The following is a 24153-nucleotide window of genomic DNA, read 5'->3' as shown; positions in this document are numbered from 1 at the left end:
AAGTCCTAAGCTAAAATTTCCAGGTTGCACCATGTTCTATCAGAACCCCACAGACAGGCATCCTGGCAGGGGAAATAACAGTACTGACAGTCAGAAAGTCTGGGTTCCCATCCTGACCATTTAATAATCTCTTGTCTTGATTCATGAAACTTCTTTGAGCAGAACAATTTGCTTATGAAAGACAGGGAAGTTTGGCACTGTTAAAAAGATAAAATTAGGTATCATTTATAAGCTATGAGTACAGCATAGGTTTTTTCTGAGTACAATTTTTAGCAATCTACAAATGCAATTATAGCTTAACTTTCTGGCCTCAGGGGATTGGTGGTGATAAAATTACTGGTATATAAAATCATAAAACATAGTAAAGGAATAAAACCATGGCATGTTATGATACTATAAAAGGTTTCTAACTCCAATATATAATGCCAGCTGTTTATTTTACACATACATTTTATTATTGCCAAAATAATATTCTTAAGAATAAAATTGGTATACATTTAAGTAATATGTTTTCTTAAAAGGAATGTTACATCCTAGGGGTCAGCAAACTTTCTATAAAGGGCTAGATAGTAACTCTTAGGCTTTGAGAGCCACATGTGGGTCTCTGTGGCATATCTGTCTTTGTTTTTTCAGCTACTCTCAAAAATGCAAAAATCATTTTTAGTTTGGGGACTGTAGATTGCCTATCCCTGTATATCTGAAACAACTAAAGTTAATGGAAGTTAGGAGCTGCCAAATGTGATTATAAACTTTGAATATAAAATAAAAAGCCTTTTCTGCTTGTTCTTGCATATTGGTATACAGTATTATGAATTATAAACAATTTGATGTGCGATCTTATATTTGGCATTTAAAAATTTTACAATTCTGGGAAGAAGACAGGAATAAATATTTACTATATACTTACTCTGTGCCAGGCTCCATATAAATTAAACACCCACACACAAAGTCAAGGTATGTAACTATGAAACCTCAATCATCACAATTCTGTAAAGTACATGCTGTTATCCTAGCTTACAGATAACAAATTTAAGATTCAGAGAAGTTAGTCCAATTGTCTAACATGGCACATGGGGATGTGTTTCTTCTATTGATAAATAATTAAGAAAACAACTGAATTAAAAGTCACAACATCAAGATTCTAGCTCCAGGTCTGCTACTATGTGTGTGACCTTATCTGTTTATAAAGTGGGGAGAGGGGTGATCCACCTCGTTTACCACAAAACACTTTTGTGAATATCAAATAACAGATGTGGAAGTTTTTTGTAAACTATGAAAGTGTCATAAACATGTAAATAATTATTTTTATTGTAGGAAACAACTTCTTTTCCTGGTGAATGACCCATTTCAAAATGTTATATAAATATTTCAGTTAAAACATAATTTCAGACAATTCTTTAATTCATTAAAGATTCATTAGTTAAAATATTTAAAGAAAGACTGGCCTAAAATATTACACATTATCACCTTGGAGGAGAATCATCCTGCTTTTTAAATCCAGGAGGAAGGGCTGGTCCAAAAAACCCATCATCATCATCATCGTCATCATCCTGATTTTTCCTCTGTTTTCTGAAAACATAGTAGTATAACTTTATGCATATATGTCAAAATTTTTTTCACAAAAGCACATTTTAATTTTTTTTAAAAAAGCATTAAATCTAGTTGTATAAACACTGCAACAATAAATTAATCCTGCCAAATAAAAACTGGATACTACGATAGTTCTTTTTTTTTTTTTATTTTTTGAGAGGAAGTCTTGCCTTGTTGCCCAGGCTGGAGTGCAGTGGCGTGATGTTGGCTCACTGGAACCTCCCACTCCTAGGTTCAAGCAATTCTCCTGCCTCAGCCTCCCAAGTAGCTGGGATTACAGGGAAGCGCCACCACGCCCAGCTAATTTTTGTATTTTTTAGTAGAGACGGGGTTTCACCATGTTGGCCAGGCTGGTCTCGAACTCCTGACCTCAAGTGATCTCCCCACCTTGGCCTTCCAAAGTGCTGGGATTACAGGCGTGAGCCACTGCACCTGGCCTACGACAATAGTTCGTAACTAGTCTTTTCCTGGAATTTATTTTTGGCCTAAAATACAGATTGGTTATTTCTTTACAGCAGTAATATATCACTATTCTATATTTTCTGTGGTATTAAAGATTCCCCTCAATGCAGTTTCAAAGTCTATTGGTCAGATGTTTCTCAGTAAAAAGTTTATGACTGTGACTTTTATTCTCATCTAAGGAAGGGTTTTAAGTTGCTATTTCCACCTGATAATATTTAAAATGAATCAAAAAAGCTTGTTACTCAATAATAAACAAAGATTTGACTTCTCATTTACATAGACTCATAGTGGGTAAGGCCAGATTAGAGGAAAATCATTCAGCTGGGCACAGTGGCTCATGCCTGTAATCCCAGCACCTTAAAAGGCCGAGGCGGGCAGATCACTTGGGGTCAGGAGTTCAAGACCAGCCTGGCCAACATGGTGAAACCCTGTCTCTACTAAAAAATCCAAAAATTAGCCAGGTATGGTGGCACACACCTGTAGTTCCAGCTACTTGGGAGACTGAGACAGGAGAACCACTTGAACTTAGGAGGCAGAGGCTACAGTGAGCTGAGATCGTGCCACCGGATTCCAGTCTGGGCTACAGAGTGAGACTTCATCTCAAAAAAAAAAAAAAAAAAAAAAAAAAAAAAGAAAACCATTAGTTTATTTAAAGAAAACATACACTGCATATATAATTTTAATAAGAAATTCTATGGTTTATGTAGCCTATTTTGGCACTTCAATGACATCTTAAGAAAAATCATTTATGTAAGAATTTTATTGGCTGGTGTGGTGGCTCATGCTTGTAATCCCAGCACTTTCTGAGGCTGAGGCGGGCAGATCACTTGAGTCCAGGAGTTTGAGACCAGCCTGGGCAACATGATGAAACCCCATCTCTACAAAAAATACCAAAAAATCTACAAAAAATACAAAAATTTGCGGGCACCTGTGGTTCCAGCTTCTCAGAAGACTGAGGTGGGAGGATCGCTTGAGCTTGGGAGGCAGAGGCTGCAGTGAGCCAAGATCGTGCCACATCACTCCAGCATGTGCGCCAGAGTGAGCCCCTGTCTCAGGAAAAAATATACATATATATTGAAATTCTAGATATCTCTATAGCTGCAAACTACTAGAATAAATTTCTTTGTAAAAGGTATAATTCAGGATGAAATGCCACACAAAATGATTTCTCCCTGTGCTGTATAAATGGAAATATGATATCCCCTTACTAGCTATCTGTTCCAGCCAACTTATACTAGCTCTGAAGTTTGGTCTATCATTTAATTTAATTAAATGACTGACCTTGCAGTTGGACCACTGTCATCTTCTTCAGATTCTTGATTTCCTTCTTCGTACAAAGAACTACTGTCTTCATCGCTGTCTGATGAATCTGAACTACTGCTTTTATAATTAGGGGGCAGAGCTGGTCCTGCAACTAAAGAACACTTGTTGTTTGTCATCACTAGCCACTACTGTTTCAATGAACCCTTCTAGCTGATATTTTTCACTTTCTTTTCTGAAATAAACAGCACTGGCTGTCTATCATTTATTATTCACTTTAATCTCAATTGCTGTTGTTTGTGTACAGTGGTTTTGTCTTTCCAGCTCTAGGAAGGCAGAAATCATGTCTTACACAATCTCTTTCATGAGATTCACAAAAGCTTTGTTAATATCTGAACTTATAAACCCGAACTTATAGATATAGCAATAGCATGTAATTTCCTTGATAATGTGCAGTTTTTGCATTGGTTGGTGCACCTGCCAAAAAAAACAAAAAAACAAACAAACAAACAAAAAAAAACCCCAATGGCTTCATGATTTTTTTTTTTCTTACAGTTTACGGTAGAACCACTACTTAAAAAAAAAAAATCTTTCCTGGCATCCCCATATTTCTTGGTTAGTTTTCTTTTTGAGATGATTTTCCAAGCAGAAATAAAATTAGAGTCACTCTAAGTTTTACTGCTTGCCAACAGAGATACAGGGAAGAGAATGAGGCTGCACTGTAATGGGGATGTTAGGGAGAGTGGTAAGGGTCTTCTAGGTCCACTTATCAGAATGACTTGCTCTCACTTTACATCTCAGCAAAATTACAAATTACTATATGGTGTCACTGCAGTGTCATGATGTCACTGATGATGTCACACAGACACAACTGTCCAGGTTGATCCTAAATAGTGATGCTAAAAGCCTACTATCATAGTTCCCAAGGTTGGATATTTATCAGACTCCCTAAAATCTATGTATTTTTAAAAGATTCATGGGCCCTTTTCTCAGATATTCTAACCCAGTTGGCCTGGAGGAGGGCCTGGAAACATGATTTTCCAAAGAGTATTCTGGGTATGCCATTCATTCAATATTATAGTAATAGTAATATTTGTTACTACAAAAACTTAAGTGTAATAAATAAATAACAAATAACATGGTTTGAGTTCTTAGGTGTTATGAATTGTTTTAAGAGACATACACATTATTCTATTTAATTCTGATAACAATCCTATAAGGGAGATATTATTTCTATTTTACATATGGAGAAACTGAGGCCAAGAATTGTTAAGTGACTTGCCTAACTTCATACAACTAAGTAGTGGGGCTGTGACATGAACCCAGGAGTCTGATTTCAAAGCCTATATCCTTAACCACTATACTAGCCAATACTCAATAGTCAGCAACCATCCATCCAACAACAGTTATTAAGTAAATACTTCTAGAGAAACAAACATTAAAAGAATTAAGATCAATTCAGATAGTGTAAATGCTACTATGAAAATAGGAAAAAGGTGACACTGTATATGTGGGAGGGTAATTTTAAAGACAGTGGTAAGGCAAAAATCTCTCTGAGAAAAAGACATTTGAATGGAGACTTAAATGATGAGATGACAGAGGAACAGCCAGTGCACAACTCCTATGCAGGGAGCAAGCCTGATGTGCTTGAGGAATAAAAAGGCCAGTGTGGCTAAAGAAAAGCAAAATGACGACATCAAGTTGGATGGTATAAAGGGGCCAGACTCTTGCTTTGGAGGCAGACTCTGTGCTTTGAATTCCAGGTTGGCCACTTACTAGCTGTGTGATTTGGATAAGTTACTTAACCTTCCTATTACACTCTTGCTTTGTAAAATGAGGTTAATAATAGTTTCAACCTCACAGGACTGTTGTGAAGATTATATCAGTTAATATATGCAAAACACCTAACAAAGTCTTTGGCATATAGCAAGTGCTCAATAAATGCTAGTACAGGCTACAATAAGGAGTTTGGACTTCTCTTTCCCTTTCCCTTTTCTGTTCCCTTTCCCTAAGAGGCGAGATCTCACTGTGTTGTCCAGGTTGAAGTGCAGTGGCTTTTCACAGGTGCGATCCCACTGCTGATCAGCACCAGAGTTTTCACATGCTTTGTTTCCGACCTGGGCTGGTTCACCCCTCCTTAGGGCAATCTGGTGGTCCTTCACTCCCGGAGGTCACCATACTGATGTTGAACTTAGTGTGGATACCAGAATGCATAGCGCACTACAGCCCAGAACTCCTGGACTCAAGCGATCCTCTTGCCTCAGCTTCCTGAGTACCTGGGACTACAGGCATGCACCACCACATCCAGCAGGAGTTTGGATTTTAATTACAACAGGCAGTCATTGGGAGGTTGTGGGTCAGGACAGACATGATATGAATTACCAAACAAACAAACAAAAAACTGTCAGCTTGTGGACAATAGACAAGAGAGATCAGCAACAGGGGATATGCATTAGAAAGCTGATAAAAAATGGTGTGGGCCAGGTGTGGTGGCTCACGCCTGTAATCCCAGCACTTTGGGAGGCCGAGGTGGGCGGATCACCCGAGGTCAGGAGTTCGGGACCAGCCTGGGCAACATGGTGAAACCCTGTCTCTACTAAAAATACAAAATTAGCTGGGCATGGTGGTGTGCGTCTGTAATCCCAGCTACTCAGGAGGCTGAGGCAGGTGAATTGCTTGAATTCTGGCAGTGGAGGTTGCAGTGAGCCAAGATCACGCCATTGCACTCCAGCCTGTGCGACAGAGCAAGACTCCATCTAAAAAAAAGAAAGAAAAAAAAAAGGTTTGATTTGCAACATACTCTGATGTAAGGGCAAAGAGGACTGCTAATGGTTTGGATGTTAGAGGTGAGAAGAAAAAAAAAAGGAACCAAGGATAGGTCTTAGGTTTTGTGCCTGACTAGCTAGGCAGGTGAAGGGCAATGGTATTCTCTAATATGGAGAAGGCTGGGAAGAAAATAGGCTGGGAGGGGAGAGTTGAGAGTTTGTTTTTCACATTTTAAGTTTCATACAGCCTTAAAAATTTAGGTGGTGCTATCAGTGGTACTTGGGCATACTAGGGTGTATAGGGTGTGTAAGTCCGTTCTCATGCTGCTATGAAGAAATACCTGAGACTGAGTAATTTATAAAGGAAAGAGGTTTAATTGAGCCACAGTTCAGCATGGTTGTGGAGGCCTCAGGAAACGTACAATTATGGTGGAAGGGGAAGCAAACACATCCTTCTTCACATGGCAGGAGGAAGGAGAAGTGCAGAGAGAAAGGGGGAGAAGCCCCTTATAAAACTATCAGATCTCATGAGAACTCACTATCACGAGAACAGCATGAGGGTAACCACCACCATGATTCAGTTACCTCCCACCAGGTCCCTCCCACAACATGTAGGGATTATGGAAACTATAATTCAAGATGAGATTTGGGTGGGGACATAGCCAAACATTATTACAGTGTAAAGCTCAGGGGAGAAACTAAGGCTAGTTTTGGAATCATTGGCCTATTTCAAAAAAATTTTTCCTATCTCTCTTGGTGCATTACTATAGAACAGGTAATAACATGCCTTAGAAAAGAATAACTCTAAGGCATGCTGCGTTACAGCAAAAAGGAAAACATCAAGCATCATGGATGGGATTCCTATCTCCAACTGCTGTTTAGGGTTTACTAAAGAAGACTTAATGTCTTAGTATGTAAGTGTTCCCCAATTTATTTATAATTTAGAGACTATATGTGACCTCTAACCTCATGTGTGACCCCACAGGAGTGATTGGCTCTTTTCATCTTCTTGATTCTAAGTACATTAAAGAGGGAAGATATGTTTTTTCCTCTTCTGCTTCTTTCTCTTCTTATATGTGACTGCTATCCATGTAATTTATCAATTGTATACTATTGGCCAATTTTGGATAGGTTTGTATCAAGAAAAAATTTTATTATTCTTTTATATATTTTAAGCAATTAGATGTGTAATATGGTCTAAATATGTGCTGTTCTTGGTATTATAACGTACACACATACCTTTTATTTATGTATTCATTCACTCATTTATTTATTTAGTCTTGCTCTGTTGCCTGGGTTAGAAAGCAGTGATCATGGCTCACTGTAACCTTGAACTCCTGGCCTCAAGCGATCCTCCCATCTCGGCCTCCTGCATGGCTAGGACTACAGGTGTTTGCCACCATGCACAGATAATTTTTAAATTTTATTTTATTTATTTTTTTGAGACCAGGGTCTCACTATGTTGTCCAGCTTGGTCTTGAACGCTTGGCCTCAAGTGATCTTCCTGCCTTGGCCTCCCAAAGCACTGGGATTACAGGCATGAGCCACCACACCTGGTGCTATTACAACTAAAAAATTGCCATGGATTTTTAAAGAAACAAACGAGATATACATTTTTTAAAAAGATAATAAGCAGATGAAGATAAAACTCATCTAAGAAAACCTGGCCTTTTAAAAATAATCACGGAAAAATAGTATAAAAAAGTAACATTCAGCACATAGTACCATTAATTTCTATTTGAGTTGTTCAAAATAAACAACTATTTCATCATGAAATGATAGAATACTGAGATGGCGATATAAAAAAGAAAAAAGGGGCCAGGCGCAGTGGCTCATGCTTGTAATCCCAGAACTTTGGGAGGACAAGGCAGGCGGATCATGAGGTCAAGAGATCAAGACCATCCTGGCCAACATGGTGAAACCCCATCTCTACTAAAAATACCAAAATTAGCTGGGCGTGGTGGCACATGCTTGTAGTCCCAGCTACTCAGGAGGCTGAGGCAGGAGAATCACTTGAACCCGGGAGGCGGAGGTTGCTGTGAGCCAAGATCACGCCACTGCACTCCAGTCTGGTGACAGAGTGAGACTCTGTCTCAAGAAAAAAGAGAAGAATATTAAAAGTGTCAGTCAGTATACGCCACAATACAGACCCCCTAATAAAAGTAAGGACATGTCTGGCTTCACTTTTTTATAGATATCCTTCTGAACTATGAATAATCTCAAAAAATTATTTTGGGAACATGTAATGAACTATTCCATATCTCTCCTAAAGCAGTGATGCTTGTCGTCATTAAGGAGGCTCTCCTATTGCAATGATAATTTTCCAAATAGATTATAAATTCCATGAGAACAGGAGTTACGCGTTCCTTATATTTCACTTATTTCCCTTTCATATCACACAGAATTGTGATATGCATATAAAAAAATGAACTCAGTATAATACATAAAAATCTCATTACAGATCAGCATTAACAGATGAACATCCACAACTGATTCTGATGACTAGGAATGCTAACTTGAACTCCGATGAAATGAAATGTTACTCCCCCAAAACCAATTCTGTTCTTCTCATTAGTAGACCTGTATTACAAAAAAATTATATGGTATTATGTTTTAGATTGCAACAATAAAATTTTGTGAAGTTTGCTTCCTTCTTGTTGTACACATACTTTTACAATAATCTTGATTTTGCCTACTGACCTACAGTCAAAAGTACAGTTGTCCCTCGGTATTCTCGGGAGATTGGTTCCAGGACCAACTCCCCTGTTTGCAGCTACCAAAATCTGTGGCTATGGCCTTGGTTCCACTTCCCTTGAATATTGTACTTTCAATCTAGAGTTGGTTGAACCTGAAGACTCAGAACCTGCAGATCTACAGGGTCAACTGTATTTACTATCTGGTCCTTTACAAGAAAAGTTTGCTGACCCCATGACATGGTTAAATCATGCAAATATAAAGAAGGGGCACCCAACCCATCTTTTACAGGCAGTAGGTAGTTAACATCAAAGAATGTTTCCTAGAAGCAGTGATGTAGGGGTGGGACCTGAGTTAGCTGGGCAAAGAAGGTGGGGACTGGACGAAGAGTAGTCCAGGCAGAAAGAAAAGCATCTGCAAAAGCCTGAAAGCAAAAGAGTCATCACATTTAGAAAACTGAAAGGTGTTCAGGATGGTTGGAACCAAGAGAGGATAGAGAGGGGCCAAATGTTGCTGTGAGGTCAAGGAAGACTAGGACTGAAAAGGAAGCCTTGAATTGGTGAGGGTCTCAGTGGACTGGTGAGGGCAGAAATGCAATGGGTTAAGGAGAAAATAGAAGACCCAGAGACAGTGAGAAAGAAAAAGATGCAGCTAGAGGGGGATATGAAGTAGAGTTTTCTTCAAAGATGGGAAAGATTTGAATGTTTTGGTTAAATGCTAAGGGCAGGCAGCCCTAAGGACAGGGAAGGGAGTCAGAGTAAAAATGGAAGGATTAGCTTTAGAAGGAAGCAGTATACCTCTTCTATTGTTACCAAAGGGCAGACAAAAAGCTTGGCGTGGATTTAGGATAGTTTTTAGATACAGTAACAGAAAATTGAGGAAGTTCTCTTATGATGGCATCTACTTGTTCAATGAAGTAGACGGAAAAATAAAAGTTTTAGAAAGAAAGGGAAAGTTTTAAAAAGCCAAGGTTGCAGATTGGGGAAGAGAAAGGAGGTGAAGCCTGTGAGGATTACTGGACAGACCTATGGACCCAGTTAGGGAACAGGCCATCTTTTAGCAGCATTAGCTTGTGGAGGCGTGAGGTTTCTTCTAGCAGCATTAGGAAGCCTGGCTGTAGGCTCACAAGGGGTAAACACTTGGACTGATCCAGGGCTGGGCTTTTGTTAGATGGGTTTGGCAGAATACCCAATGGGATAAAGCAGTTGAGAGCACCAGCAAGAGAGTGGATGAATGGGTGGACCATGGAGTCTAACAGGAGTAGGGATGTAAGCACTCCTCTCAGATGGAAGTACTTAGGGATAGAAGTACTTAGGGATGGAAGGCTCAATGAGGTTAAAAAACAAAAATAAAAAGCAAATGAAATGGGAGTAACTTGAGTGAGAACAATGAATGAATAAGGGGTTCTTGCTGAGAATGAGATTTGAATTTGAGTTTTTGGAGCTGGAGTAGGGTAGACTCACTACTCCAGCTTAAAATGTAGGTGAAATTAGTGGAGGTGAAGGTCACTGCAGATAGGAGACTGGAGTTAGAGTCAAAATGGCCAAGGCTCCACTCAGCTTCCATAGAACAGCATATGGAGTCTGTGGATCGCTCTTGAGAAAATATTTGCACCCCAGGGTTTCTAATGACATGACGTTGGGGGACATTTTCCAGCAGTCAATTTTCAGAGTATTCAAATGAAGTTAACTTGTTCCATCTCAGACCTGTGTGCTCCCTCACTCCTCTTTACTCTGGTCATGCTTGTCAGATCTCCTTCTGGGACAGCAGAGTGTGAGGAACACAGGACAGATAACAGACTGGATTCAGGAATCTTCACTTGAAGGTAATCCTGACACCTGCTACCACATGGATGAAACTTAAGGACATTATGCTAAGTGAAATAAGCCAGTCCAAAAAAAAAAAAAAGACAAATACTGTATGATTCCACTCAAATGATGTACTTAAAGTAGTCAAATCATAGAGACAGAAAGTAGAATGGTGCTTGTCAGGAGCTGGAGGGGGGAATGAGGAGTTATTACTTAGTGAGTACAGAGTTTCTGTTTTACAAGATGAAAAGAGATGTGGATATGTTGGTAATAGTTGCTCAATCATCTGAATGTATTTAATGCCACTGAACTGTACATTTAAAGATGGTTAAGATGGTACATTTCATGTTATGTGTATTTTATCACAATTTTTAAAAACTGGAAAAAAAAAAAAAAAAAAAAAAAAAGAGGCTGGGCACAGTGGCTCACGCCTGTAATCCCAGTACTTTGGGAGGCTGAGGCAGATGGATCACTTGAGCCCAGGAGTTCCAGACCAGTCTGGCCAACATGGTGAAACCCCATCTCTACTAAAAATACAAAAATTAGCCAGATGTGAGGGTGCATCCCCGTAATTTCAGCTAGTCAGGAGGCTGAGGCAGGAGAATCACTTGAACCAGGAGGCAGAGGTTGCAGTAAGCTGAGATCATGCCACTGCACTCCAGCCAGGATGACAGTGAGATGCTGTTTAAAAAAAAAAAAAAATCCCGTTCCCAGCCAGCCATTAGGTTTCTTCCAGACTCCATACAAAGGATTATGGTTAGCTGTATTCATGCAGGTCCTGGCTTCTCCAACCCCCATAAATCCTGGGCCCCTCTTAAGGAATTTTTTTTTTTTTTTGCGACAAGGTCTTGTTTTAACACTCAGGCTGGAGTGCGGTGGTGTGATCACAGCTCACTGCAACCTCAAACTCCTGGGCTCAAGCAATCCTCTTGCCTCAGCCCCCCAAGTAGTTGAGACTGCATGTGCATGCTACCATGCCTGGCTAATTTTTAAATTTTTAGTAGAGATGAGGTCTTACTATGTTGCCTAGGCTGTTCTTGAAGTCCTGGGCTCAAGTGATCCTCCCACCTTAGCCTCCCAAAGTGCTGGGATTATAGGCATGAGCCACTGCGCCTGACCAGGAATTTTTACTGTCCTCTACTCCGCCAAAAGGAATCTACTGAGTACCCACTTTGTGCTGGGTACCCTGCTAGTATTGGGGATTACAGAGGCTTAGGACGTGGTTCCTTTCCTCATGGTTTAGTGGGGCAAACCAGCAAACAATCCAGCACAATAACTACAGATAGAGAAAGCCACGTGTGCTCCCATCCCTCACCACAAACACTGTGGTCTTGGCACCAGCAGGACCAGCAGCAGCAGCAGCAGCTGGGAGCTTGTCAGAAATGCAGAATCTCAGGCCTCACCCAGATCACCTGAATCAGAGTTGGCATCTTAACAAGATCTCTGGGTAATCCATGTGCATGTTCAAGTTTAAGGTGCACTGCTACAGAAGACAGAAATAGGGTGACCAATTGTGCTGGTTTGCTTGGGATTGAAGGGCTTCTTGGGATGTGGGATTTTTAGTGCTAAAACTGGGACAGTCCCAGGGACTTAGGGGGTAATTTAGTCTTTGCTCCTGAACTTGGAATACTTTAAAATCCTGTCAGGGGAGGAAAGAAGAGACTGGCTAGAACATTGAAAGATTTTTTTTAGAAGTTCATCTCCTTTTTTAAAGATTCTGATAGGAACTCTCACTGGGAATCATTAAACAAAGATGTTAGATAAGCATCTAAGTTCTTATATAAAAACCTTCACCCCATGGGTGGGAATATCATCACTTAAAAGAGAGAATAGAGTATTAAAAAAAAAGAGGGCTTAGGAGTCAGCTTTCAGAATCTTTAACACCTGAAGGTTTAATTGAAGATAAACTATTCGAGATGAAGAGGAGCTGCCCAAAGAGGAGACAAAAATGAGGGGAGTATGGTATCATAGAAACCAAAAGAGAAGGGGTGTGTGTGTGTGTGTGTGTGTGTGTGTGTGTGTTTAAAGATAGGGGCTTGTGTCTGGGTGCAGTGGCTCACGCCTGTAATCCCAGCACTTTGGGAGGCCAAAGCGAGAGGATCACCTGAGGTCGGGAGTTCAAGACCAGCCTGACCAACATGGAGAAACCCTCTCTCTACTAAAAATACAAAATTAGTTAGGTGTGGTGGTGCACGCCTGTATCCCAGCTACTTAGGAGGCTGAGGCAGGAGAATAGCTTGAACCCAGGAGGCGGAGGTTGTGGTGAGCCGAGATTGTGCCATTGCACTCCAGCCTGGGCAACAAGAGCGAAACTCCGTCTCAAAAAAAAAATAAAATGCTCTCTCTCCAATGCCTCACATTTCTAATTATCTAACGATATATATAATGTGATATTCTGAACAATGACCCTAAATCAACAACAACAACAAAAAACCACGAATAAATAATTTCAAGAATACTTTTATTATGAAAACCATGTATTTTGGAAAACTGTGTGACTTTATGTTTATCACGTGAGGAGGCCCATAACACCTGAATCCCAAGATGAAGTTTTGTACTGAGCTCTGAAAACTAGCAAAACGAACGAAACTAAGGGATGGGAGGAAGCACTCAAACTGAGGGAACAACATGTATGAAGACTTCAAGGTAGGATGGGACATGGTAGGCAGCAGGAACAGAGAAGACCAGGTAATTCAATTCTCCTGCCTCAGCCTCCCGAGTAGCTGGGATTACAGGCATGCACCACCACACCTGGGTAATTTTTGTATTTTTTTAGTAGAGACGGGGTTTCTCCACGTTGAGGCTGGTCTCGAATTCCTGACCTCAGGTGATCCGCCCGCCTCGGCCTCCCAAAGTGCTGGGATTACAGGCGTGAGCCACCGTGCCCGGCCGCGAGAGGGCATTTTTTTAAGAAATTAGACTCTAAATTCAAGTTTCTTTCTTTCTCTCTCCCTTTTTTTTTTTTTTTTTTTTTGAGACAGGGTCTCACTTTATCACCCAGGCTGGAGTGCAGTGGCATGATCATAGCTTACTACAACCTCCAACTCCTGGGCTCATGCGATCCTCCCACCTCAGCCTCCCAAGTAGCTGGGACTACAGGCATGCACTACCTGTATTTTTTGTAGAGATGGGGTTTTGCCATGTTGCCCAGGCTGGTCTTGAACTCATGGGTTCAAGAATGCCTGCCTCAGCTTCCCAAAGTGCTGGGATTACAAGCGTAAACAACCATGCCTGACCCAAGTTTCTTAAACCTAGATGCACAAGCCAATAAGCATATGAAAAGGTGCTCAACATCACTAATCGTTAAGGAAATGCAAATCAAAGCAATGAGATACCACTTCACACTCATTAGGATGACTATTATAAAAAAAAAAAAAAGACAAACAGAAATTAACAAGCACTGGGAGGATGTGGAGAAACAGACCCTTGTACAGTGCTAGTGGGAATGTAAAATGGTGCAGCTGCTGTAGACAACAGTATGCTAGTTCCTCAAATTTTTTTTTTTTTTTTGAGACGGAGTCTCGATCTGTCGCCCAGGCTGGAGTGCAGTGGCGCGATCTCGGCTCACTGCAACCTCTACCTCCCAGGTACAAGTGATTCTCAAGCCTCAGCCTCCCCAGTAGCTGGGACTACAGGTCCCAGATCACCTGAATCAGAGTTGGCATCTTAACAAGATCTCTGGGTAATCCACCACGCCTGGCTAATTTTTGTATTTTTAGTAAAGACGAGGTTTCACCATGTTGGCCAGGCTGGTCTTGACCTCTTGACCTCAGGTGAGGTCACCTGCCTCGGTCTCCCAAAGTGCTGGGATTACAGGTGTGAGTCACCGTGCCCGGCCTCTCAAAATGTTGTAGAATTACCACATGGTCCAGCAATCCCATTTCTGGGTATACGACCAAAAGAAATGAAAGCAGGGACTTGAACAGATTATTTGTACACCCATGTTCATAACAGCATTATTCACAATAGCATACATAGCAACCCAAGGGTCCAGCAACAGATGAATAAACAAAATGTAGTCTATACAGTATATACATACACGGAATACTGTTGAGTCTTAAAAAGAAAGGAAATTCTAACGTGCTACAATAAGTAAAGCTTGAAAAAATTATGCTAAGTGAAATAAGCCAGTAACCAAAGGGCAAGTACTGTATGATTCCATTAAATGAAGTACCTAAAATAGTCCAATTAACAGAAAAAGAAAGTAGATGGTAGTTACCAGGGACTGGGTCAGAGGGGAGAATGGGGAGTTATTGTTTAATGGGAATAGGTTTCAGTTTTGCAAGATGAAAATAGTTCTAGAGATGGATGGTGGTGATGACCGCACAACAATGTGACTGTACCTAAGTGCCACTGACCTATATGCTTACAAATGGTTAATATGACAGATGTGTATATTTTACCAGAATAAACAAGAAAAAAAACTAGATGCATATATATGGTTGCCTGATTTATAAGGAAGGTGATAGTGGTGAAAGGATGGTCTGTTCAATAAATGGTGCCAGGATACCCTTACAGGGGCAAAAAATTTTCATCCCTATCTCACACCACACACAAATATCAATTCCAGATGAATTGCAAATATAAATGTGAAAGCTGAAACAATAATGCTTTTAGAAGAAAACACAGAAGAGCTTTATAACCTTGGGGTGGGCAAAGATAGCTTAAATAGGATGCAAAAAATTCTACCATAAAAGAAAAAAATTAAAAGTCAGAATATATTAAAATTAAAAACTTATGTTAATCAAAACATACCAACATGAGTGAAAAAACCACAGAATTAGAGAAGATATTTCTGATACACCTATCTGGAAAATGACTCATATCCAGACTATAAAAAGAACTCTATAAATCAATATGAAGACAGACAACTCAATGGAAAAATAAGCAAAAGACTGAACACAGCATGTATTCATATGGTCAAATAACACATGAAAAGGTGGTCAATTTCATTTGTCACCAGGGAAATACAAATTAAAACTACCATGAGATATTGCTACAAACCACCGGATTTAAAAGAAAAAAACTAAATATTAGAATGTGGAACAACTAGAATTCTCATACACGCTGAGAACTTTGGTGACTTTGGAAGCTGGGAGTATCTACCATAAGACATATACTACAATGCATAGCAGCACATTTTATAACAGCCTCCAAATGGAAATTACTCAAATGTTCATCCAACGTAAAATGGATAAATTGCAGAACATTCATCTAATGGATGACTATATAGCAATGTAAAGAAACAACCTATAATAATTCTGTTTGTTTAAAGACCAGATTATGAACTTCAACAATCTATAATAATGCTAATCTACATGAATGAATCTCACAAAGTAATGTAGTACCAAGATAGGAAGCCAGTTATGAAAGAGAAAACATGCAAAACGAATCTGTGATGCTATAAATCAAGGAAGCAGTTACCCTCTGGTTGTAGGAGGGGTGGTGATGCAGGTAATAACTGGAAGATGGTCCAAGTGCAGCTTCTATGGTGTGATATAGTGGATGTGAAGGCCATTGGTACTGGCAAACTTCTTAAAAATCCAGATAGATGAAATAAAAATGATATATGAAGATTTTTTGGCAACCGTTTTAGGTTCAGCCATCTAGGCGGTTATGAAGGGAATGGAATTATAGCAGGGGAGATTATGTGTTTAAAATGACACACTACGTGTAAGATATTGTGCTTGACGAAGAGAAGTCATTCAACAAATATATACGAAGAATCTTTTTCTTTTTTTTTTTTGAGACAGAGTCTCACTCTGTCGCCAGGCTGGAGTGCAGTGGCGCGATCTCGGCTCACCGCAACCTCCGCCTCCCAGGTTCAAGCAATTCTCCTGCCTCAGCCTCCCAAGTAGCTGGGACTACAGGTACGTGCCACCATGCCTGGCTAATTTTTGTATTTTTAGTAGAGACAGGGTTTCACCATGTTGGCCAGAATGGTCTCGATCTCTCGACCTCGTGATCCGCCCGCCTCGGCCTCCCAAAGCGCTGGGTTCACAGGCGTGAGCCACCGCACCTGGCCTTATTTTATTTTTTTAAAGCTATCTCCTACAGGAAGGAAAGCATAATTTTTCACATTTACTTTTATTTATTTATTTATTGAGACAAACTCTCGTTCCGTCGCCCAGGCTGGAGCGCAGTGGCACTCTCGGCTCACTGCAACCTCCGCCTCCTGGGTTCAAGCGATTCTCCTGCCTCAGCCTCCAGAGCAGCTGGGATTACAGGCGCCCGCCACCACGCCCGGCTAATTTTTGTATTTTTAGTAGAGATGGGGTTTCAACATGTTGGCCAGGCTGGTCTTGAACTCCTGAGTTCAAGTGATCCGCCCCGTCTCAGCCTCTCAAAGTGCTGAGATTACAGGCTTGTGCCACCTCGCTCAGCTGGAAGGCATAATTTTTAAAGTGGTTATGACAGAAATTATATTGGAAAGGGGCCTGTAGTAGAAACATAGCCTCCGGGTAGACCAGGAAGAAAAATTAGATTCAGAAATGGCAGGGTTACTCTTTCAGCTTTACTCTTCTCCAACTGGGTGTCGGTGCTAGTCTACAAATGTGAATAAACATTAAAGCAGATAGGTATGCATGCCGGAATCCGAGAAGCATTCGTTTCGTATATACCAAGTGCCTGTTGCGTGTTCAGGTAGAAGACCATAGTGCAATGGTGGAGACAGATTATGTCGACAAATTATTCAAATACAGTGTACTAAATATGCAATGTAATTAGGAAAAAACCCGAGGGCAAAAAGAAAGGCATGACAATGCTTCGGGGAATCTGGAAAGGTTTTATTGGTGTGACATTTAAGTTGGGCCTTGAAGGATGGGGAGAAGTTTGTCAGTTATGTTTAGGAATGCAACCAGAGGAAGCCCAGAAGCCTAGAGCGTTAAGGAATTGCGCAGCAACTCAGACTGGATTGAGTATTGGGCTGTGTTTGTCAGATGCAATAACAGAATGAGAGGCTAGGAAGGCAGGTCGGGGGCTGGAGAGAACAGGATCTGCAAGGTTCTTGTAATCAGAAGGCAATATGGCACAGAGGTTAAGAGAACCGCTTCCTTCTAAGTCGCGCTCCATCACTTGCTAGCAGTATGATCTAGACACTGGCATGGGCTTGGGCGTACCCATTTGCAACATGGGAAAATAGTTTTTTTCTTATACGGCTTAAATGACTGAGTGGGTATCAGTCAGTTAGGGCAGCGTGCAGCTCATATTAAGGCTAAATGAGAATGTATTATCATCACGAAGCCAAACCACGCCAAAGCTCGTTTCTAGGAGGGTCCCCCAGCCTCCTCCCCCCTGCTACTGTTTGGGAAGAGAAAAGTTCTCTCGGGTCAGGCCGCGCCCACTCCCCACTCCTCCGCCCTCCTAGGCCTCCGACTTTCTTCAGCGAGCAGGGCCCGGCCAGGGAGTGGGTAGATGGGCCTGGTGGGCAGCGGAGACGCCGCCGCTTACCAGGGCTCGGGTCCCGCTCTTCGTCCTCCGCTGTTCCGCGGGCCTTGAAGCCGGGCGGCAGGGCCGGTCCGATCAGGTCTCTTGCCATCCGCGGTGGCGGACACTGGTCACAGATATGAGTCTATCCACGAACGTCAACCCTATCCAAAAAGAATCCCGCGATCAGCAGCGAAGAATGGCAGGTTTCCCGGCGCCGAGAAATGACGTAAAGCCTGTGGTTGGCTGAGCCTTGTAGTTCACGGTAAAGGAAGTGACGCCTAATGCTTGCTCCACAGTCGCGTGCTAGACTCCGGACCCGCCAGTGGTATGGCTGAGCCGACTAGTGATTTCGAGACTCCTATCGGGTGGCATGCGTCTCCCGAGCTGACTCCCACGTTAGGGCCCCTGAGCGACACTGCCCCGCCGCGGGACAGCTGGATGTTCTGGGCAATGCTGCCGCCACCGCCACCACCACTTACGTCCTCGCTTCCCGCAGCCGGGTCAAAGCCTTCCTCTGAGTCGCAGCCCCCCATGGAGGCCCAGTCTCTCCCCGGGGCTCCGCCCCCCTTCGACGCCCAGATTCTTCCCGGGGCGCAACCCCCCTTCGACGCCCAGTCTCCCCTTGATTCTCAGCCTCAACCCAGCGGCCAGCCTTGGAATTTCCATGCTTCCACATCGTGGTATTGGAGACAGTCTTCTGATAGGTTTCCTCGGCATCAGAAGTCCTTCAACCCTGCAGGTAGGCTATTTTTCCACGTGAGTCGACCCCTTTACCTTTTTCCCCCGTTCTTTCCTCTCCCCTTTCTCTGCTTCCTCTCTCTACTCTGCCTTGCCTCTGCACTCTTGGAGTCTGGTCATTAGCATCTCAAAGCAAAGTGAGACCCCCGTCTCTACAAAAAAAATAAAATTAGCCAGGCATGGTGGCATGCCTGTGGTCGCAGATGCATGGGAGGCTGAGGCAGGAGGATTCCTTGAACCCAGGAAGTCGAGGCTGCTTTATCAACTAAGTTTATATAATATTGTAAATCCTTTGTTCTCAAAATATGTCTGACTAGAATGTTTTCCTGTTGACTGTTAATTCCATTTAGCAGTTATTTATTGAATTCCGACTATGTACCAGAATCTGGGTATATAGCAGTGAGCAGAACATACAAAAAATATTATGGAGCTTAATATTATCTCTCTTGTGTAGGAAGACAGACAATAAGCAAAATAAAATATTGTGCATTAGAAGGTTGAGTGGCATGGAGAGAGATAAAACAAAGAAGAATGGTAAGTAGTGCAGGATTTTCTTTTTTTCTTTTTTTTTGGAGACAGAGTGTCGCTCTGTCGCCCAGGCTGGAGTGAAGAGTAGCGCGATCTACTTCACTCCAGCCTATGCAGTCTCTGCAGAGAGGCTCACTGCAACCTCTGCCTCCCGAGTTCAAGCAATTCTCATGCCTCAAACTCCTGAGTAGCTGGGACTACAGGCCCACGCCACCACACCCGGCTAATTTTTTATATTTTTAGTAGAAAGGGGGTTGCCCCGTGTTGGACAGGCCTGTCTCTAACTCCTGAGCTCAGGCATCCGCCCGCCTCAGCCTCCCAAAGTGTTGGGATTACAGGCATGAGCCACCACGCCGGGCCAGGTAGTGCAGTTTTAAATGTCATTGTTAGTCATAAGGAAGGTGACATATGAGCGAAGACTTTAGGGAGGTGAGAGATCACAGCCATGCATACAACTGGGAGAATAGGGGTACGGGCAGAAGGAACTGCAAGTGCAAAGGTCTTGAGGCTTAGAAGCTATACATCAGAATGGGAACCAGTGTGGCTACAGAGGACTGAGTCTGGAGTATAATTGTAGAAGATGGGGGAGGAGGGTAAGACCTGGTATGTCTTTGTAGATCGTGGGACTTTGACTTTTACTGTTGTGAGGTGGGTAGTACAGCGGATTGACATGACCTGATTTACGTTTTAAGAGGATTAATGTGTCTGTTGGTGAGAACTGACTGAAAGGGAAACCGGTTAGGAAGCTATTGTAGTTACTTTTCTAAACAAGAGATATTGGAGACTTGGACCAGGGTGAAGCCCAAGGGATGGTGAGAAGTAGTTGGATTCTAGATCTGGGGATACCTTGGAGCTCTTGTGGGTTCAGTTACAGACCACTGCAGTAAAGCAAGTCACACAATTATTTTTTTTTTGGTTTTCCGTTGCATGTAAAAGTATGTTTTCCTGCAGATCCTATGGGGCAAAAAAGTTATTTTTACATTATACCATAGTCTAGTAAGTGTGCAATACCATTATGTCTTAAAAAACAACTTACATACCTTGATTAAAAAATACTTTAGGCTGAGCAGGGTAGCTCACACCTATAATCTGGGCACTTTATTTATTTTTTTTTTTAATTTGTTGAGACAGAGTCTCTGTTGCTCAGGCTGGAGTGCAATGGCGTGATCTTGGCTCATTGCAACCTCCACCTCCCAGGTTGAGGTGATTCTCCTGCCTCAGCCTCCCGAGCAGCTGGTACTACAGGTGCCCGCCACCATGCCTGGCTAATTTTTGTATTTTTAGTAGAGACAAGGTTTCACCATGTTGGCCAGGCTTATCTCGAACTCCTGACCTCAAGTGATCCATCCTCCTTGGCCTCCGAAAAGTGCTGAGATTACAAGCGTGAGCCACTGCACCCAGCCTAATCTTAGCACTTTGAGAGGCAGAGGCAAGAGGATTGCTTGAGCCCAGGAGTTTGAGACCTGCCTGGGCAACAAAGTGAGACCCCCGTCTCTACAAAAAAAATAAAATTAGCCAGGCGTGGTGGAATGCCTGTGGTCCTAGAAGCATGGGAGGCTGAGGCAGGAGGATTCCTTGAGCCCAGGAAGTCGAGGCTACTTTATCAACTAAGTTTATATAATATTATAAATCCTTTGTTGTCATTTCAACAGTGTTCACAGCATCTTCACCAGGAGTAGATTCCTTCTCAAAAAAGCACTTTCTTTCCTCATCCATAAGAAGCCACTTCTCATCCATTAAAGGTTTACCATGAGATTGCAGCAAGTCACATCTTGTGGCTCCACTTCTTTTTTTTTTTTTTTTTTTGAGATGGAGTCTTGCTCTGTTGCCCAGGCTGGAGTGCAGTGGCTCGATCTTGGCTCATTGCAAGCTCTGCCTCCCAGGTTCACGCCGTTCTCCTGCCTCAGCCTCCCTAGTAGCTGGGACTACAGGCGCCCACCACCACGCCCGGCTGATTTTTTTGTATTTTTAGTAGAGATGGGGTTTCACCATGTTAGCCAGGATGGTCTCGATCGCCTGACCTCGTGATCCACCCACCTCAGCCTCCCAAAGTGTTGGGATTATAGGCGTGAGCCACTGCGCCTGGCCCCTCCACTTCTAATTGTAGTTCTCTTGCAGTTTCTACTACATCTGAGGTGACTTCCTCCACTGAAGTCTTGAATTCCTCAAAATCGTCTATGAGGGTTGGAATTTCTTCTTTCAAACTCCTGTTAATGTTGATCTTTTGACCTCCTTCCATAAATCATGAATGTTCTTAATGGTATCTTGAATAGTGAATCAAAACCTCCTTTCTAGAAGGTTTTTAATCTACTTTGCTCAGATCCATTAGAGGAATCACTATCTATGAATCACTGTGGATTTCTTTCAAGAACTTTTCATCCAGACACGGTGGCTCACGACTGTAATCCCAGCACTTCAGGAGGGCAGAGCAGGAGGATCCCTTGAGCCCAGGAGTTTGAGGCTGCAATGAGCTATGACTGCACCTTTATATTCCAGCCTGGCTGACAGTGAGACCCTTTCTCAGTAGTTGCATTCACAACTTGGCTAGCCGTTTGGCACAAGAGGCCTGGCTTTTGGCTTGTATCAGCTTTCAACGTGTCTTCCTCACTAAGCTTAATCATTTCTGGCTTTCGATTTAAAATGAGAGACATGTGACTCTTCCTTTTGCTTGAACACTTAGAGACCATGATAGGGTTATTAATTGGCCTACTTTTGAATATTGCGTCTCAGAGGATAGGGAGGCCTGAGGAGAGGGAGAGGAGAACCACCGGTTGGTAGAGCAGTTAGAACATACACAGCATTTATAAAGTTCACCATCTTATATGGCCACGATTCATGGTGTCTCAAAACAATTACAGTAGTAGCATCAAAGATCACTGATCACAGATCAGTATAACAGACGTAATAAAAATGAAAAAGTTTGAAATATTTCGAGAATCACCAAAATGTGACACAAAGACAGCACATTGTTGTTGGAAAAATGGTGCTGATAGACCTGCTTGATGTAGGGTTGCCGCAGACCCTTAGCTTGCAAAAAGCTGTGTAAAACGAAGTGCAGTGAAATGAGATGTGCTTTTATACCTTAAAGGTGGGGACTGCATGATTTACTGAAAGATAGGATATATGGGATGCAAGATAAAGAGGAGAGAAGGATAATTTAAAGTTTTTTTGCCAAACAATTGGAAGGATGGAGTTGCTATTAACTGAGATAGGTAAGAATGTGGATGGAGCAGATTTGGAAGGAAGTCCAGGAATTAAAGTTGGAATATATTTGTGTCAGGTAGAGATATTGAATAGGCTTTTAGCTATTAGTCTACTTTCAGGGGAGATTTGTGGCTGGAGCTATAAATTTGGGTGTTGACACCATATAGATCATATTTCAAGCTACAAGAGTGTTAATTTAAAACCATTCTCCAACTTTGCAGAAAATTCAATTCTGCATTCCATAAAAAATGATGAGTTCATATCCTTTGTAGGGACATGGATGAAATTGGAAGTCATCATTCTCAGTAAACTATTGCAAGGACAGAAAACCAAACACCACATGTTCTCTCTCATAGATGGGAATTGAACAATGAGAACACATGGACACAGGAAGGAGAACATCACACTCTGGGGACTGTTGTGGGGTGGGGGGAACGGGGAGGTATAGCATTAGGAGATATACCTAATGCTAAATGACGAGTTAATGGGTGCAGCACACCAGTATGGCACATGTATACATATGTAACTAACCTGCACATTGTGCACACGTACCCTAAAACTTAAAGTATAATAATAAAAAAAAATTCAATTCTGCATTAAACTGAATCTGAACAATTAGTGTTTTATTTTTATTTTATTTTATTTATTTTTTTAAATAGAGTCTCTTGCTGTCACCCAGGCTAGAGTACAGTGGCACCATCTCGGCTCACTGCAGCCTCCACCTCCTGGGTTCAAGGGATCCTTCTGCCTCAGCCTCCTGAGTAGCTGGGACTACAGGCACGCACTACCACACCTGGCTAATTTTTTGTATTTTTGGTAGAGACTGGGTTTCACCATGTTGGCCAGGCTGGTCTCGAGCTCCTGACCTCAAGTGATCTGCTTGCCTTGGCCTCCCAAAGCACTGGGAATACAGGAATGAGCCATCACACCTGGCCCAAACAGTTAGTGTTTATTGTATGGCAGATGCTGGAAATACGGACTTGGCTGAGTCAGATGAGATATGTTATAAGTATGAATCAAAATACAGTGTGACTGATGATAGAGGCATATAATAGCTGATTTCAGAATGTAGAGGAAATTGGGAAAAGCTTTTGGAAGAAGTGTCTTAGGAGATGTATAGAATTTGGGAAGAGATGTTTCCTAGGTAGAGAAAGAGGTGTCAGTACAAGGCAAGTTCTGGAGATTGCAGGGTTCTGGTGTGACTGAAGCAGAGTATGTGAAAGGTATGGGGAAGGGTAGGGTAAGAAAATAAATTAGAATCTCATGGAAGGTCTCTAGGAAGCTGTCTTAGTCCCTATTGTGCTGCCATAACAGAGTATGACCTGTTGGGTAATATATAATGAACAGAAATTTATTTGGCTCATAGTTCTTGAGGTTATGTCCAAGATCAAGGGGCTGTTGAGGACCTTCTTGCTGCATGGTGACATCAAGAAAGGCATCACATGGTGAGAGAGAGTGAGAGAAGGTCAAACTCATCCTTTATTATTGTTGCTTTTTGAGACAGGGTCTTGTTCTGTGGCCCAGGCTGGAGTGCAGTGGCACATATATGGCTCACTGCAGCCTCAACCTGCTGGGCTCAAGTGATTCTCCCATCTCAGCCTCACAAGTAGCTGGGACTACAGGCACATACCACCAAGCTTGGCTAATTTTTGTATTTTTTGTAGAGACAGAGTTTC

At 42.0% G+C, this 24153-nt stretch overlaps 2 protein-coding genes and 1 pseudogene across 8 annotated transcripts in view, besides 5 other annotated features; 1 reads left to right on the top strand and 2 right to left on the bottom strand.

Moving 5' to 3' along the window:
• GPALPP1 (GPALPP motifs containing 1) overlaps positions 1-18233 on the bottom strand; it is a 48132-nt gene extending 29899 nt beyond the window's left edge. For all 6 annotated transcript variants that reach the window (NM_001316952.2, XM_047430436.1, XM_005266444.4 and 3 more), the window contains exons 1-3: positions 18029-18233; positions 3334-3466; positions 1468-1569 (exon numbers count right to left, since the gene is read on the bottom strand). Coding sequence is in view for 5 of the 6 variants with exons in the window: in XM_047430436.1 (XP_047286392.1) it covers positions 1468-1569; positions 3334-3466; positions 18029-18116 (323 nt within the window). In the remaining variant the exon portion in view is untranslated. The remainder of the gene's footprint in view (positions 1-1467; positions 1570-3333; positions 3467-18028) is intronic.
• RN7SL49P (RNA, 7SL, cytoplasmic 49, pseudogene) lies at positions 5324-5621 on the bottom strand (annotated as a pseudogene).
• Positions 17487-18123: an enhancer, noted in NCBI's record as "H3K27ac hESC enhancer chr13:45563783-45564419 (GRCh37/hg19 assembly coordinates)". NCBI's record gives its function as "activates a minimal SCP1, AML or CMV promoter by ChIP-STARR-seq in primed H9 embryonic stem cells {active_cell/tissue: H9 hESC(primed)}" and the evidence as "EXISTENCE:reporter gene assay evidence [ECO:0000049][PMID:30033119]".
• Positions 18050-18239: an enhancer, noted in NCBI's record as "active region_7677". NCBI's record gives its function as "activates an Ori minimal core promoter by ATAC-STARR-seq in GM12878 lymphoblastoid cells {active_cell/tissue: GM12878}" and the evidence as "EXISTENCE:reporter gene assay evidence [ECO:0000049][PMID:35858748]".
• Positions 18050-18762: a biological region, named in NCBI's record as "H3K27ac hESC enhancer GRCh37_chr13:45563144-45563782".
• Positions 18124-18762: an enhancer, noted in NCBI's record as "H3K27ac hESC enhancer chr13:45563144-45563782 (GRCh37/hg19 assembly coordinates)". NCBI's record gives its function as "activates a minimal SCP1, AML or CMV promoter by ChIP-STARR-seq in primed H9 embryonic stem cells {active_cell/tissue: H9 hESC(primed)}" and the evidence as "EXISTENCE:reporter gene assay evidence [ECO:0000049][PMID:30033119]".
• Positions 18300-24153, top strand: part of NUFIP1 (nuclear FMR1 interacting protein 1) — a 50223-nt gene continuing 44369 nt past the window's right edge. For both annotated transcript variants that reach the window (XR_941559.3, NM_012345.3), the window contains exon 1: positions 18300-18746. Coding sequence is in view for 1 of the 2 variants with exons in the window: in NM_012345.3 (NP_036477.2) it covers positions 18335-18746 (412 nt within the window). In the remaining variant the exon portion in view is untranslated. The remainder of the gene's footprint in view (positions 18747-24153) is intronic.
• Positions 18430-18499: an enhancer, noted in NCBI's record as "active region_7676". NCBI's record gives its function as "activates an Ori minimal core promoter by ATAC-STARR-seq in GM12878 lymphoblastoid cells {active_cell/tissue: GM12878}" and the evidence as "EXISTENCE:reporter gene assay evidence [ECO:0000049][PMID:35858748]".

Source organism: Homo sapiens, chromosome 13 (assembly GCF_000001405.40).
Source record: "Homo sapiens chromosome 13, GRCh38.p14 Primary Assembly".
NCBI lineage: Eukaryota > Metazoa > Chordata > Mammalia > Primates > Hominidae > Homo > Homo sapiens.
The sequence above is the reverse complement of the archived record's forward strand: the minus strand, read 5'-3'. Positions and strand labels throughout refer to the sequence as shown.